We start from the raw sequence: 16,150 nt of genomic DNA on the forward strand, positions 1-16,150 counted from the left end.
TGGTCTCTCTTCTTTCATGGTTTAAACCCTAATTTTAGTGTAGCACATCTTCCAGTACTTCCTAAGAAAAGATGTACAGGAAGTAAAATTTATGAGCACTTGCATGCTTGAAGATGCTTACATTCCATTCTCCCACCTAATTTATATTTTGGCAGGATATAAAATTTCAATTTGGAAGTCATTTCCTCAAAATTGTAAAGGTCTTATTTAATCCTTTGTCTTTTAATTTTAAGCATTGCTCTTGATTTAAAGATGACATTCTGGGCTGGGCATGGTGGCTTACACTTGTAATCCCAGCATGTTGGTAGGCTGAGGCAGGTGGATTGCTTTAGCTCAGGAGTTTGAGGCAGCCTGCGCAAGACAGTGAAACCCCATCTCTACAAAAACAAACAAAAAAAAACAACAACAAAAACCCCAAAAACATTAGTCAGGCATGGCGGTGCATGTCTGTTGTCCCAGCTCTGTGGGAGGCTGAGGCAGCAGGATGGCTTGAGCCCAGGAGTTTGAGGCTGGAGGGAAATAAGATCACACTACTGAACTCCAGCTTGGGCAACAGAGCCAGATCCTGTCAAAAAAAAAAAAAATGACATTCTGATATTCTGATTCTTGATCTTTTATATGTGACTCTTTTAGGACCTTCTTTCCATTCTTAGCATTATGAAATTTCATTATCATTGGCCTTGGTATGGGTTTTGTTTTGTTTTTTTTTGTTTTGTTTGAGACAGAGTCTCACTCTGTTGCCCAGGCTGGAGTGCAGTGGAGTGATCTTGGCTCACTGAAACCTCCACCTCCCAGGTTCAAGTGATTCTCCTGCCTCAGCCTCCCAAGTAGCTGGGGCTACAGGCACTTGTCACCACACCAGGCTAATTTTTTTGTATTTTTAGTAGAGATGGGGTTTTGCCATGTTGGCCAGGCCGGTCTTAAACTCCTAACCTCAGGTGATCCACCCACCTCGGCCTCCCAAAGTGCTGAGATTACAGGTGTGAGCCACCATGCCAGGCCCTGGGTTGTTTTTTTTGTTCTGTTTTGTTTTGTTTTTACATGAATTGTGCTGCATACTGCATGAACCACTTCAATCTGAAGTCAAATTATTTAGTTCTGGAGAATTTTCTTATACCACTTCCTCAATAATTTTCTCTTCTCATTTTCTCTGCTTTGTGGATCTTCTATTACACTACCTTTCTCCCAATTTATTCTCTAATGTACTTGATTTTTTTCTCATTTATTTTAATATATTTATCCTTATTTTAAATATTTTAAAACTGTTTAGTTGTAGTGAAATACACACAACATTTACCATCTTAACCATTTTTAAGCGTGCAGTTCAGTAGTATTGAATACATTTTCACTATTGTATGACCAATCTCCAGAATTCTTTTCATCTTGCAAAAGTAAAACTCTATATGCATTTAAAAGCTTCTGATTCTCCCCTCCCCCCAGCCCATGAAAACCACCATTCCACTTTCTGTGCCTATAACTTTGACTATTCTGGGTACTTCACATAAGTGGAATAATAAAGTATTTCTGTTTTTGTGATTGACTTATTTCATTTGGCATAATGTTAATGTTCTCAGGTTTCACCCGTGTTTGTACGTGTGTCAAGATTTCTTCCCTGTTGAAGACTGAATGATATTCCATTGTATATGTATGTCACATTCTGTTTATCCAATCATTTGTCAATAGATATTGGGTTGCATCAACCTTTTAGATATCATGAATAACGCTGCTATGAATTTGGGTGTACACCTATCTCCTTGAGACTCTGCTTTCAATGCTTTTGGGAATATACCTAAGAGTGGAATTGCTGGATATGGTAATCATTTGAGGAACCACCACACTGTTTTCCACAGTGACCACACCATTTTACATTCTCAACAGTGCCTCTCAAATTTCTCTACATCCTTACCAACATTTATTATTTTCTATGTGTATTGTTTATGGTAGCCACCCTAATGGGCATGAAATGGTGTCTCATTGTAATTTTGGTTTGTATTCCTCTAGTGATTCATGATATTGAGAATCTTGTCATGTGCTGTTGGCCATTTGTATGTCTCCTTAGAAGGGTCTATTCAAATTATTTGCCCATTTTTTAATTGCATTGTTTGGGTTATTTTGTTGTTTTTGTTCTTTTTAGAAATTCTATATATATTCTTGTATTTTCCCTTTATCAGATATGTAATTTGCAAATATTTTCTCCCAGTTTGTAGGTTGCATTCTCACTCTGTTGATTGTATCCTTTGATGTACAGAAGTTTTCTTTTTTTTTATTTTGATGCTCAACTTACCTATTTTTTACTTTTGTTGCCTGTGCTTTTGGAGTCATATCTAAGAAATAATTGCCAAATCCAGTGTCATGAAGCTTCTCTCTATGTTTTCTTCTAGGAGTTTTGTAGTTTGTCTCTGTCTGTATCCGCTTCAGTGCCTAAAGCTTGTATTGTTTATGCCACTTATTCTATTTTTTATTTTCTAAGAGCTCTTTCTTGTTCTTTATTATTTTTGTAGAAGTTTCTTATTTGATAGATGAGTATCCTCTTATTTTTCCAATATTACCAATCTTTTAAAAATTACTCCTCATAATATTGTTTCTGTTTTCTATGAATCTTGCCACCCACAATTGTTAGCTTCTTTCTTTCATATAAGAATCTCTCCTCAATTGTTTGCCAGTACTTTGTTGTACATATATATTTAAGAAATTTAAGGCACCAAAGAGTTGCTGATTAGAAGCAGCTCAATGGCATGGCCAGAGCTTATCAACTGTTGGCTCTAACTTAGGATAATTGAGGATGAGTGAGTTTTATTTGGAGGTGGGGCTGGCTCCCAATGTGCATCTTGTTTTTTTTTTTTTCCCCTGACTCTGGTGAGTTTCTCAGTTAATGGTCCTCTAAAGTTCATCACAGGGAATGGTATATACTTGTCCATCCATGAAGGTCGAGCAGCACAGAGAAGCTGAAAGTCTCAGCACTTAGCTTGTGGACTTTCACTTAATTCCTCTGTTGTCTGTACAGTAGACTCTTCTACTTCCAGAGTATCTGTGAGTTCAGATTAAGAAACTTCTCATTTAATTTCTCCACTTGAAGCAATTTCAAGTGTGCTGTTTAGGCAAAAGAAGACTGGATGCTGAACCAGAAAGATTAGGGAGAAGAAGTGCAAATCCTTCTACAGACATTCAACCCATGTCGGTGTTTTAAGCCCATGTCTCATTCTCTCCTGCTCAGATACCTGCTAATTGCTTCTGAGGTCCTAAGGCATGGATAGGCTTTGCTTTGCACTTAGTATTTAACTATCTCTACTCTGCTATCTCTTCCATCCACTTTACATAATTTTTAAAATATTGTTGACATTACCTGTAATTAGCCTGTATGAGTTTATACCATTTTACTTTTTATATTTATTTTTGTGTTCCAGAACACAATTATTTGATATTAAATAATTAAAACAAAAGTTATACACATGAATTCAACTTAAATTCCTTGTTAAAATTTTCAGGAGCCATTTTTATAATTGAAATCAGCCTTTTTAGGTTCTGTACATTACTTTCAGTCATAATCTTATTAAGTTATCTATATTAATAGCAGATACCTTGTGCCAAGTAATATGTCTACTTAGGGATATTACTGTTTTAATTTAACTCTTGTTACAAGATTCAATCATTTAGTAAATTAACATATTCTGTGTCTTAATGTGACAAGCTTAAATACTCAGTCAATTGTTTAATTCCATTCATGTCCTTTGACATTTAAAGTTAAAAACAAATTTTTTTGGTAGGTTTTAGTAAATTTTCCCAAAAATCTATTTCTTCAAAGTTTAAAAAAACTATATTAGCTCTTTTAGTAACTTTGGTGCTTTGGATAGCTGTAATGTTTTGTTGGATTCAAAGTGTGTTTCTTTTAATTCATAGGGAAATACTGCTTCACAAGTTATACTTGGAAAAGGTAAATTAATAATTTTCCTGTGACTTTTTTCAATGTACATCAAGATACAGAGGGGCATCTCTGCTTCTTGACAGCTTCCCTTCTGGCTCTCAGCAGCCTTTCTTCAGTGTCTCCTTTGATTTGCTGAGTCTAGTCTGCTCTGGGCTTTAAAAAAAGAGATAATTTCAATTGTTAAATTGAAGCTAAAAATAAAAATGAAAGAGAATCTGATTACCCACAAATAAAGTTCATGTGTTTTAATGCTGCACCCTGTGATCGAAACACTAAAACCACTGCAAATTCCTTAGTTCCTAAATAAAAGACTTGGCCAAGAATTGAATTCAAAATTATATATATATTTTTGGATCCAGAAGTCTTTAAGAATGCTATGCCGGCCAGGTGCAGTGGCTCACGCATGTAATCTCAGCACTTTGGGAGGCTGAGGCGGGCAGATCACGAAGTCAGTAGATCGAGACCATCCTGGCCAACATGGTGAAACCCTGTCTCTACTAAAAATATAAAAATTAGCAGGGCATGGTGGTGTGTGCCTGTAATCCCAGCTACTTGGGAGGCTGAGGCAGGAGAATCTCTTGAACCAGGGAGTCAGAGGTTGCAGTGAGCCAAGATCGTGCCACTGCACTCCAGCCTGGACTCCGTCTCAAAAAAAAAAAAAAAAAAATGGTATGCCACATTACTTGGTAAATATAAAATAAGGCTCTAGAACCACTGACTGTGGGGAGTGATTAAATGTGTTACTGAAACACATTTGTTGCACCAGATCTTTCAAGTTTTCATTTCCCTTTCTGTTGTCTGAGCCACCCCCTCCTATAAGAATATGTCCATCTAGAGCAGATTTTCAGTAAAGAATCTAGCTAATTTGTGTTGTAACTTCACAATCTCTAAAGAATCTGTGAGGGCCGGGCGCGGTGGCTCACGCCTGTAATCCCAGCACTTTGGGAGGCCGAGGCGGGTGGATCATGAGGTCAGGAGATCGAGACCATCCTGGCTAACAAGGTGAAACCCCGTCTCTACTAAAAATACAAAAAAAATTAGCCGGGCGCGGTGGCGGGCGCCTGTAGTCCCAGCTACTCGGGAGGCTGAGGCAGGAGAATGGCGTGAACCCGGGAAGCGGAGCTTGCAGTGAGCCGAGATTGCGCCACTGCAGTCCGCAGTCCCACCTGGGCGACAGAGCGAGACTCCGTCTCAAAAAAAAAAAAAAAAAAAAAAAAAAGAATCTGTGAACAAATTCGTCAAAGTAATTCTGAAATTTTTGAACACCCTGATATGCATAGAAATTGTGATTAAATTCTCCTTTGTGTATGAAATGTGTCCCTGTGTGGACCTCCATAAATGTATGAAGCCTGGATTATCTCATAAATATTTTCCCAAAAATAGACTTTGATATTTAAGTTTCCCTTTATCATTTTACATATTTCAATAACTTGTTATTTAACAATATAAGATGTGTTTGACATGTGTGTCTTCTAGGCACAGATGAACAAACAGACTTTGGATTGGGTGATGCTCATCAGAGTGATGGATTAAACTTGGAAAGAGAGATAGTCAGCCAGACCACAGCAACACAGGAAAAGTCACAGGAAGAACTTCCAACAACAAATAATAGTGTTTCTAAAGAAATATGGTTAGATTTTGAAGATTTCTGTGTATGCTTTCAGTAAGTATACCAATGGGATCAATCTGACTATGTCGTAGTGGTTAAACCCTGAGCTGCATTAGTATACAAAGTCACATTAAGATTTATTTTTGCATATTTAATATAGTGGTTATATAACCTATTAATTCTTAGCATCATCCAAAATAAGCCAATAACAGCCTAGTGTTGGTATAATATCAAATAAAATTTATAAAATGGAAAATAAATATATTGATTATCCATATAACACATTAATAGCCAAACCAATCTTAGGCCAGTTGCAGCTTTTCCTCAAAGGCTTGTTTCTTAATTAAAATGAAGAAATCTTATTCACTAGAATCATTCTTGTCCCTTTAGGGCAACTGACCCAATACTGTTGTTATTTTTTAACTTTCTTCCTACAATAATTTGATTATAAGAAACTTAACATGTAGTACTAGTCTTTGCCTATAATGACAATAACCTGTTAAAAATGTCTTTCTTTCAGAAATATATATATTTTCCACAAGCCAAGTTCATATTGCCTTAACTTTCAAAAATCAGAATTTAAGGTAAGTATGTTAGAATCTTTTCTATTCTCTTTAAATTTTTGGTAGAATTGCACCCGTAGAAAACATCTTCAAATTTCTCAAAACATTTCTAAACTTGTAACATAGTTATATTTTTAAAAATTAATTTTTAGAGTCTCTCACTAATCCTTATCCAAGCAATAAGCAAAATTCCACTAGCTCATAACCACAAATGTGATCCATCTGACTATGTTGAATCCTGGCCTGAATTATTATACAAATTCACATTAAGAAAAATTTGAATTATGAAAAAATGAAGGACATGCACAAATAAATTCACTAGATTTGGTTTCAATTAGTATTTATTGAATAGTGTATGTTTCCTAAAACATAAGGACACTCCACCATTATGCCTGCATTTTTTCCCCCGTATCATCCCTCTGCCAGGAGTTTCTGTCCTTTCATCCCTGTTATCCTCATTGCTGTTGTTCAGCTAATGCCTAGAAATCCTTCAGAATAGCACAGATGCCCTTGACACTGTGAGGCTTCCCTTCCCTGGCCATGGAATCTGGGTTAAGAGTCTCAGCTTCACCAGCCTGACCAACATGGTGAAACCCCATCTCTGCTAAAAATACAAAAATTAGCCAGGTGTGGTGGCATGCGCCTGTAATCTCAGCTACTCAGGAGGCTGAGGCAGGAGAATCGCTTGAACCTGGGAGGCAGAGGTTGCAGTGAGCCGAGATTGCGCCACTGCACTCCAGCCTGGGCAACAGAGTGAGATTCCATCTCAAAAAAAAAAAAAAAAAAAAAGGCTCAGCTTCATGTCCTCTGTATGCTCTATGTTTGCCTGGCATTTGCCTCCCACCCTCCCAACTTTCTGATTGCTTCCCTGTGCCCATTCTTCCCCCTACTTACTGTTAGCATCTTTAGAAGAGCTGTATCTTTTTGTTTACCACTTATAAGAACATTCCTGCCATGAGGTAGGAACTCAATTTAAAAATTGTGGATTAAAGTAATTAACAAACCACATATTGAGCAGAATTTTAAGAAAAACTATGACACATATTCCGGGAAACTAAACTGTACCAACATTTACATGTTGTCCTGTCATAGGACAAGGCCACCCAAGCCCCTAATGATAATCCCACACCTCCATGAGCAGTACGCAGAGTTGGAGGAAGTAAAGAGTCCTTGAAACTTTTCCATTGCCCTTGTAACAGATGAAAACGGGCAGAGAAAACCTTTTGAGCAGACCTCAAGAGCTGCTTTGTTGCTGGCTGCCTCCTCTGAAAATAAGAATAGTGACTGGGGGAAAGAAATCCTTCACCTAGTCCTGGAGTATGTGAAAACACCTAGAGGAATACTTTGACTTTATAGAGATAACACAACAATTAATTGGGAATAGTTTAACCCAGAGTATGATATCAGCATAATGTACAGTTTACAGTTTATTTAAGCATATTTCCATATTTAAACTATTGCTAGTGGTAAAATGACAATGGTTTATAGATGTTGCAGGCCCTTAGGTTCTGTATTGCATTCACTCCTCATAGCAAACCCTGTGAAAGAGATACTATTACCATCATTTTACATCTAAGGAAAATGAAGCAGATCAAATGTGAAATAACATATGTAAAACACTTAGAAGAATGCCTATTAGTAAGTAATAATAAATGTTGGCTGCCATTTACTAAAGACAGTTGCATAGAAGCTTTTGGTACACATAACCACCCTAATTTAAAAGTGTATGTGGTAAACTGGTCAACTGTTCTTTATTCTGATCTTATTCTTATGAAGTCATGATAAGCACAGAATTTTTTTTCTTTTAAAAGTCTCAGCTTGGTGAAATAAAATTATGACATTCCTTTTATTTCCCTGAATTTTTTTTAATTAATGGTATGAGAAAATAACTTTCTTGGAAGTCATTGGAATATAATCTTAATGGCATTTAGCATGGCCTGAAAGGAAGGATCAGCTGTGGTCTGAGGCCAGACACTCCAGACCTTAGTGGCCTGCCGAGCTGGGGACACAGAGCCCGAGGCCTGTCCTCAGCACAATCCACAGATGTTCCCTTGGTGCTCAGTGTGAGGTTAGAGCAGGGTCATTTCAATGGTGCCATGTGCTGGCACCAGGGCAGAGGCCCTTTGTGGCCTTCAGGAACACCCCACCCCTCAATTCGCAGGCCCTTGAAAATGACAGAAAATGAGCTCCGGGCAGAAACTCCTCCTCAGGCATGCATGCCAGGCTCACAAGTCCAAGGGTCCTTCATATTTTCAGATAGTGAATGTTTGAAACAACTCTCTATATCAACAACATGTCACAGCTGACAGGATGCAAATAAAGTGTCAAATGAAAACAAATGGAACATAGGGGGAGGAGTAAACATTTAAGTCATGATTGCATTGTATCAAGCATTTCTAGCAATCTTTGTTATAGTTGATTAAATAACAAGGCTTCCCTTTTCATAGCATTGCTACATATTTGTTTTTCATATATTAACTTTTTTTTAATATTGTGGTAGAATAATGTGAAAAACTTTTAAAGTATAGTATAATTCAATTAAGTTAATTGAACACATTTACTGTGTGCCATCCCTCACAATTATGTTGAAGCACTGAGAACTTGAAAGGCAATAATAATGCATTAGTCAAGAGTACCAGCCTTAGAGTCAGGCAGATGGCTCTACCTACTTTTTTCTCTCATCTTTGCTACTACAAACTCTGTGACCTTTGGTAAATAGCTTACCCTTTCTGTGTAATTAGATATACATTAATGTATCTAATTATATTAAGTATTATTAATAAGTACTGTTAATGTATAATTAGATACATTAATAGTACCCATATAGGATGAACCGAAATTATATACATGTAACGTTTATGTAACTATCCTTTAAGGAGAGTTTTGATTTTACGAAGCACTTTATTCCATCTCCAAAACAAAAACCCACAGCCTGCTGTATCAGCAAGCAATGGGTATTGAGTTAGGCCATTCTCACACTGTTATAAAGAACTACCTGAGACTGGGTAATTTATGTAGAAAAGAGGTTTAATTGACTCACAGTTCCACAGGCTGTACAGAAAGCATGGCTGGGAGGGCTCAGGAAATTTACAGTCATGGTGGAAGGCTATGGGGAAGCAAACACGTCTTACCATGGCAGAACAGGAGAGAGAGAGAGACAGGAAAGGGGAAAGTGCCACGCACTTTCAAACAACCAGATCTCCTGAGAACTCCATCGCTAGAAAAGCAAGGGACAAGTCTGCTCCCGTGATTCAATCACCTCCCACCAGGCCCCTCCTTCAACGTGTGGGGATTACAATCTGACATGAGATTTGGGTGGAAACACAGAGCCAAACCACGACAGGTATATATCTGAAGCTCCTGTGGAAAGAAGGAAGAGAGAGCTTATTTCACATACCACCCTGTAAAATAAGACATCCAATTGGCCATTCCCATTCTCTGCCAAAGTTTCTTACTCTATGGCCTTCCTGCCCATCAAAGACCCATGCTTGAGTACTACTCTGCCCTGGGCTCGGCCTCTTCTCTTTCTCATTTCTGGAACAAGCATATCCCTCTTCTGTCCTCATAGAGGAGAGCTCTGCCTCTCTCTGATATGGTGGCTAGTCTAACACAGCTGCTGCAGACCCAGTTTCCACAGACGGTTGCCAACATTCACCCAGTATAGTTTTCTTCATATAATTAGATTCATAAAGTATTTATTGTGGTGCCTACAACACAGTAAGTTTCCTGTAACTCTTAGATGTTATACTATGTTTTCATTAGAAGTGAAATAATAGCATTGATGAACTGATATTAAGTATGACAACTGGTCTAATTTCTTGCAGTTCTCAGAAGAACGAGTGTCCTACTATCTATTTGTAGATAGTCTAAAACCTATTGAACTACTGGTTTGCTTTTCTGCATTGGTACGCTGGGGGGAGTATGGAGGTAAGAGGGCTCTGAGAAAATGATAGCCTTAAAGCCTAGATCATGTTCAGGCTAGGGCGTGGTGGCTCACGCCTGTAATCCCAGCACTTTGAGAGGCTGAGGCGGGTGGATCACCTGAAGTCAGGAGTCCTAGGCCAGCCTGACCAACATGGTGAAACCTTGTCTCTACTAAAAATACCAAAATTAGCCAGGCGTGATGGCACGTACCTGTATTCCCAGCTACTCAGGAGGCTGAAGCAGGACAATCCCTTGAACCCAGGAGGCGGAGGTTGCAGTGAGCCGAGATCGCGCCATTGCACTCCAACCTGGGCAACAAGAGTGAAACTCTCTCTCAAAAAAAATAAAAAAATTTTAAAAATATTTTTAGAAGACCGTGGATGGAGGAACTTCCTCCCTTTCCAGAGTTTCTCCAGAGTCCCACAGGACCACCTACACCACCTCCTCTGATGCTTTTACCCCACAGACACCAGGGATTATGCCCACTGCTGCCACCTGCACCTCTTCTGGTTGTACTATCTGTTCACCTTTTTGGTGTACTCACTCAATCTGTTAGTGTTGTAGTTGTTGACCTATAAATGTCATCATTCTTAATTATTTCAAAATCTATTGAAAAACGAACTATTTTTCTTTGATTTGACATTCCAACAATCTTTTCCTCTATCCCACCTTGGTCCCCTACTTTCATGGTTACCTTGTAGACTTTAAGTTTACCAATTTGGGCATCATCTCAGTCATCTCAATTTCAAGCACCCCACTCCCCGCTCACTGCTTGACTCTCTAGTTCACTCTACAGAACTCCCACTCCTACAATTTTGGAAGCCACTGGGACTTTCATTACTATCTACCCTGCCACTTTTTCTCTGTCCATCACAGAGATAGCCTCCACACATTTGCTCTTTTTACCCCCTCATCTTACTTTCCTGGAAAAACTTCACTATTGGTTAAACTTGATGCATATCCAACCCACAGTTTCAAGAGAGCAGCTGAATGTGATTGGAGGGGAGAAAAACAAACACACTGGCTAGCCCTGCTTACATTTGAGGAGCACAAATCTCAACAAGGCCTTAGGCACTGCCAGTATTTCTGTCATTCTTTTATTCTCCCACTCTTATTTATTCCTGTAGATGACCTATTGCAAACCCTCAAACATTCTCTCTCTCTTCAAATCTTCAACACCTACTCTTACTCTCACTCATGTTCAGATGATGACCTTGCTGCTGATCTCACTGAATAGACAGAAGAAATCAGAAAGGATTTCTGCTTTCAGAATTTGTACCTCCCTTTCCCACAATGAACTTTCTCAAAATCTAGGCCACCTTCCTTCTGTTCTAATGGATAGACAATCTCTGCTCCTCTACAAGGCCAAACCCTTGCATACACACGCACACACAGGCACACACTCACAAAACTTCATTCTTTTATTCTTTGGCCTGTTTTGTTAAAGAATTTTTCTTCAGCTCAAATTAACAGTACATGGCACTGTAAATGTACAATAAGTATTTCCCAAATGCTTAATACTGAATGTTTTGTCAACATGCAGGGCAGGGATTTTTTTTAAACTGAAATATCGTCAATGTTTTGAATGGTGTCTAACATAGAGCAGGTGGCTAGAAAATACTTGTTGTATAATAAACTTTCCAAAATTTAGTGATCTAAATTTAGTGCATCTACCAAACCAAAAGCCCTGAAGCCACACCATGTCCCAGAACATTTAAATTCTATAGGCATGAAGGCATTTCAGGTAATGTTGTGACCTTATGTCCTCAACTCCAGTGTTTTCTGGAAATAGGGGGGAAATTATTTTGCCCTCAGTCATTGATGAACAATTAGCCTATATTATTTATCCATTTTTAATAAAAAACTTGATATTAAATTTAAACTTTGTTAATTGCTTGCTATTTCTACATAATGTCAAAGACTGAATCAAAGATAAAAATTTTGATAAACAGGTTGGGCATGGTGGCTCACTCCTGTAATCCCAGCACTTTGGGAGGTTGAGGCGGGCAGATCACCTGAGGTCAGGAGTTCGAGACCAGCCTGGGCCAACATGGTGAAACCCTGTCTCTACTAAAAATACAAAAATTAGCCAGGGGTGGTGGCAGATGCCTGTAATCCCCGGTACTCCAGAGACTGAGGCAGGAGAATTGCTTGAACCCAGGAGGTGGAGGTTGCAGTAAACCGAGATCGCACCACTGCACTTCAGCTTGGGTAACAGAGTGAGAACCCGTCTTTAAAAAATAAATAATTTTTTTGATAAACAGTGGGATATTTGGATTTATTTTTTACACTATTTTAGAGAAATCTCTTATTTTTCAAGATGTAATATGTTTTCTTCCTTTAAAATTGTATCTAGAAGGATATTGTAGTTATTACCATAGAGATAATAAAAGCGATGCTATACTACAATGAAAAATGTCCTCCTGATTCTAATTTTCCTATTCCTGGTTTCTTCACTTGAGAGGATTGTTACAAGGAAGAATATTGAACAGGGAGGAAGACCTAAGTGTTATTTCTAGTAATTTACCTGGAGTAATTTCTAATGTTTTATGAACATTTTAGTAATATTTCTAATGCTTGATTATTGTTATTTATGTTGTTACTTAATAAAAAAAGACAGTACTAGTGAATGCCAACTACACTTTCATGATCAAACTTTAATACCTTTTTACTTATCTTAAAGCCTTAACAAAAGACAGTCCTCCCATAGAGCCTGGACTTCTCACAGCTGAAACGTTTTCTTGGAAATCCCTGAAACCAGGCAGTCTTGTTCTGAAGATTCACACATATGCTACCAAGGCTACAGTGGTTCGTCTGCCTGTTGGGTATGAAGTGGCTTCATTTTTCCCATAATAAAAATTGTTTGAAGGCTTGCAAATTGTTGGTTACTAAAGAAGTAAACAATATGGACTCTAAGACATTGTTTCTCAAAGCAATTTCTCAAGGCATAGGTCCATGATTATTATTCTTGAGAAAAATATTTCCAAAAAACTACATTGAGAAATACTGTACAATGAATATCCCTTTGGGAGATTCATAATTGTCAAAGATTCTGGGAATATATTTAGTCAACAATACTGCTTGAGCTTGTTTAACCCAGCATTTTCTAAAATTAATTTATAAATATTATACACATAACATTTATAATACTTTAGTATGAATTTTCTCATAAATATTTCTTATAAGTTTTCTCACCAATATAATACTTAGCAAAAACCTTGATTTTATTTAAATGCAAATTGAGAAATATGCATTTTCCCCTACCAATCTAGATTTTCTTGTGGCTTATTTTTGTTAGATATTATTTTTAATTCAGATAAAGCTGGTTAAACACATTAGTTTCAATTTTAAAGAAAATACATATAATGGAAAAGATTTTATTTTGATGAATAAAATTCAAAATATTACCTCAAATTTCAGAAGAAATATTTTCACTAGGCTTTGAAATAAACATTTTCACTAGCTTTTACTTTTTTCCCAAGATCAATCATGCTAATTCTATGTGATCAATGAAAAGCTATGTCTCTTATGCAAAAAGCAAAGCCTCAGCAACAAATGCTAAAATAATTGTGTCAAGCATCTAGTACTTCTACAAAATACTACATTTTGAAACTCTGACATTTCTCACATCTCCCCTTTATACTCCAGCAAATCAAATTACTCTGTCTGAGTGCTTATTCATTTGAGACAACCAAGGACAAGGAATTTAATAAAGATTCTTCTTATATCCGCTTTTCCCCCCACAGAACCTAAACCATCAACATGTATGTTTTGAACATGCTCTAAATCTGCAGTCCCCAACTCCAGAGCCATGGACTGGTCCTGGTCCGAGGCCTGTTAGGAACTGGGCCATGCAGCAGGAGGTTAGCGGTGCCTGAGCTCTGCCTCCTGTCAGATCAGCAGCAGCATTAGAGTCTCATAGGAGCGGGAATCCTATTGTGAACTGCATATGCAAGGGATCCAGGTTGGACACTCCTTATAAGAATCTAATGCCTGATGATCTGAGGTGGAACAGTTTCATCCTGAAACCATCCCCAAACCAAGTCCATGGAAATATTGTCTTTTGTGAAACCAGTCCTTGGTGCCAAAAAGAATGGGGATGGCTGCTCTAAATGCTCAATAACTGGAGGACCATGAATATCCCTGCTCTCACGATACGACAACCTGGTAGAGGAGACACGATTAACATACATGAAATGATGCATTTGTGAGAAAAAGACTAGGAAGTCTACACAGCCCTATACCTGCTTGAGTTTTTCTTGTTGTTAGGGAGAAATCAAGACTAGTCTTCACACCATGACTGCAGTGTGTGGGAGGTCACTCCAGCATGTACTGCAGAGAAGTTTGGTATTTAGCCTAACTATTTTTGTCCTACATAATAAGTAAAGCGTAGATTTCATGATCCCGTAGGGTTCTTATAGAGTGCAAATTCAAAGATCCTTATCTCATCTGTGTTAAAAATTGAACTCTTCCCTAACCTTTTACTTCATTTGAGTTCCAAAGTGTGAATAAGCAACTCACAGGTCAAATGCCACCACCCAGGAAGCACTCGGTTATCATCCGGCATCCCTTCTCTTTAGGAGACACATGCTACTCTTCAACGCATACTCCCCAGTAGGACACTCCATACACATCTGCAGCATGGTGTCATTTGTCATTGGGGATGAACACGTTGTACTGCCCAACTTTGAACCAGTAAGTATTTTTGCAACAGCAAGTTATTTATTTATTTATTTAGAGATGGAGTCTCGCACTGTTGCCAGGGCTGGAGTGCAGTGGCATGATCTTGGCTCACTGCAACCTCTGCCTTCCAGGTTCAAGCAATTCTCCTTGCCTCAGCCCCCCAAGTAGCTGGGATTACAGGTGCGTGCCACCACACCCTGCAGATTTTTTTGTATTTTTATTAGAGACGGGGTTTCACTATGTTGGCCAGGCTAGTCTCAAACTCCTGACCTTGTGATCTGCCCACCTCAGCCTCCCAAAGTGCTGGGATCACAGGCATGAGCCACCGCACCCAGCCACAACTGCAATTTTTATGTGCTTTATTTTCAAAGATTTTGAACTAAACACATTTTTATTTTATACTCAACTTACTTTTTTTACCTTTTAAAACTATTAAGTATACTCTGCAAGAAATCCCCACATGCAACCATGAAGTCTATAATGAAGTCTGAACCCTGTAGGTATACAAGTGAAATATGTATACTTTTCTCTAACAACTGCTCTCACCTCTACTCTGTTGAATCTCTTTTCATATCTGTTAATATCTTAGTTAGATCCCATGGCATCATTGGTTCTTTGGGGTATAAATATCAGTGCAGTCCTTTTTAATAGAGTTTAAAATTTTGGTCTCTTTCTCTCCTTTCATTTCTTCCTTTGCCTAAGGAATCTGGAGCATGTGCCTGGGATTTAGCAGGGAAGGAGTAGCTCAGAAGGTTCTGTCTCTTCACCTTCATCTCTTCTCATTCTTCTTGGTCTCTTCTCCTTGGTTTCTCTTGCTCTTCTGTTCTGACGGGGTCTGAAAGAAGAGATGAGGTCAATGGGACCAGTATGTCCCCTAAAATCTTCCCTTGGTTTTAGATGTCCTTTGTACACATGCATTTGGGACAATATTTGCAGACAGCCTTCCCACTGCATAATTCCTGATGCTTTCTCAGCTCTAACCCTTTCCTACCAAAAAAAAAAAAAAATTCCAAATAGCACAACCTTGTATTGATGGGATTCTCTAAGCCAGCCAGCAAATTTCGTGGCAAGCAGATTGCCCCCACACATGTCACACTCATGCATTCTTCCTTGTCTGAGCAGTGGCTGTGCAAGAGTTCCCAGGGCTGCCTCCTCTGTTTGCTGTGCCATCTCTCACTAGCTCTCTTTCTCTCTTGCTCAACAGCCACAGCAAGATCACACAGATCAGCAAGTTCATTTTAGACACAGATGTCACTTATTTCCCTAACTATGTTTATCTTGCTTATTTCAAGTTGTCTTTTTAAGAAAATAATTCTGCTTTATATGGTATACATTGTCAGTTTGTTGTCTTCCTTTAGATAATTTATCTCCCCAGGTGTTTATTTATTTTGGTCTGTGAGCTCACATTTCCCTGGAGATATTACTTCCTGATGTTGAAAAGATTGTTGG

General features: G+C 38.3%; 1 protein-coding gene across 1 annotated transcript in view; it reads left to right on the forward strand.

Annotated features, from left to right (window-relative positions):
- ADGB (androglobin) overlaps positions 1-16,150 on the forward strand; it is a 216,491-nt gene that overhangs the window by 112,513 nt on the left and 87,828 nt on the right. Inside the window, exons 14-19 of the mRNA NM_024694.4 lie at positions 3,898-3,931; positions 5,399-5,585; positions 6,052-6,115; positions 9,919-10,021; positions 12,702-12,843; positions 14,599-14,713. Coding sequence (NP_078970.3) covers positions 3,898-3,931; positions 5,399-5,585; positions 6,052-6,115; positions 9,919-10,021; positions 12,702-12,843; positions 14,599-14,713 — 645 coding nt within the window. The remainder of the gene's footprint in view (positions 1-3,897; positions 3,932-5,398; positions 5,586-6,051; positions 6,116-9,918; positions 10,022-12,701; positions 12,844-14,598; positions 14,714-16,150) is intronic.

Source organism: Homo sapiens, chromosome 6 (genome assembly GCF_000001405.40).
Source record: "Homo sapiens chromosome 6, GRCh38.p14 Primary Assembly".
In the NCBI taxonomy this organism is placed as follows: Eukaryota; Metazoa; Chordata; class Mammalia; order Primates; family Hominidae; genus Homo; species Homo sapiens.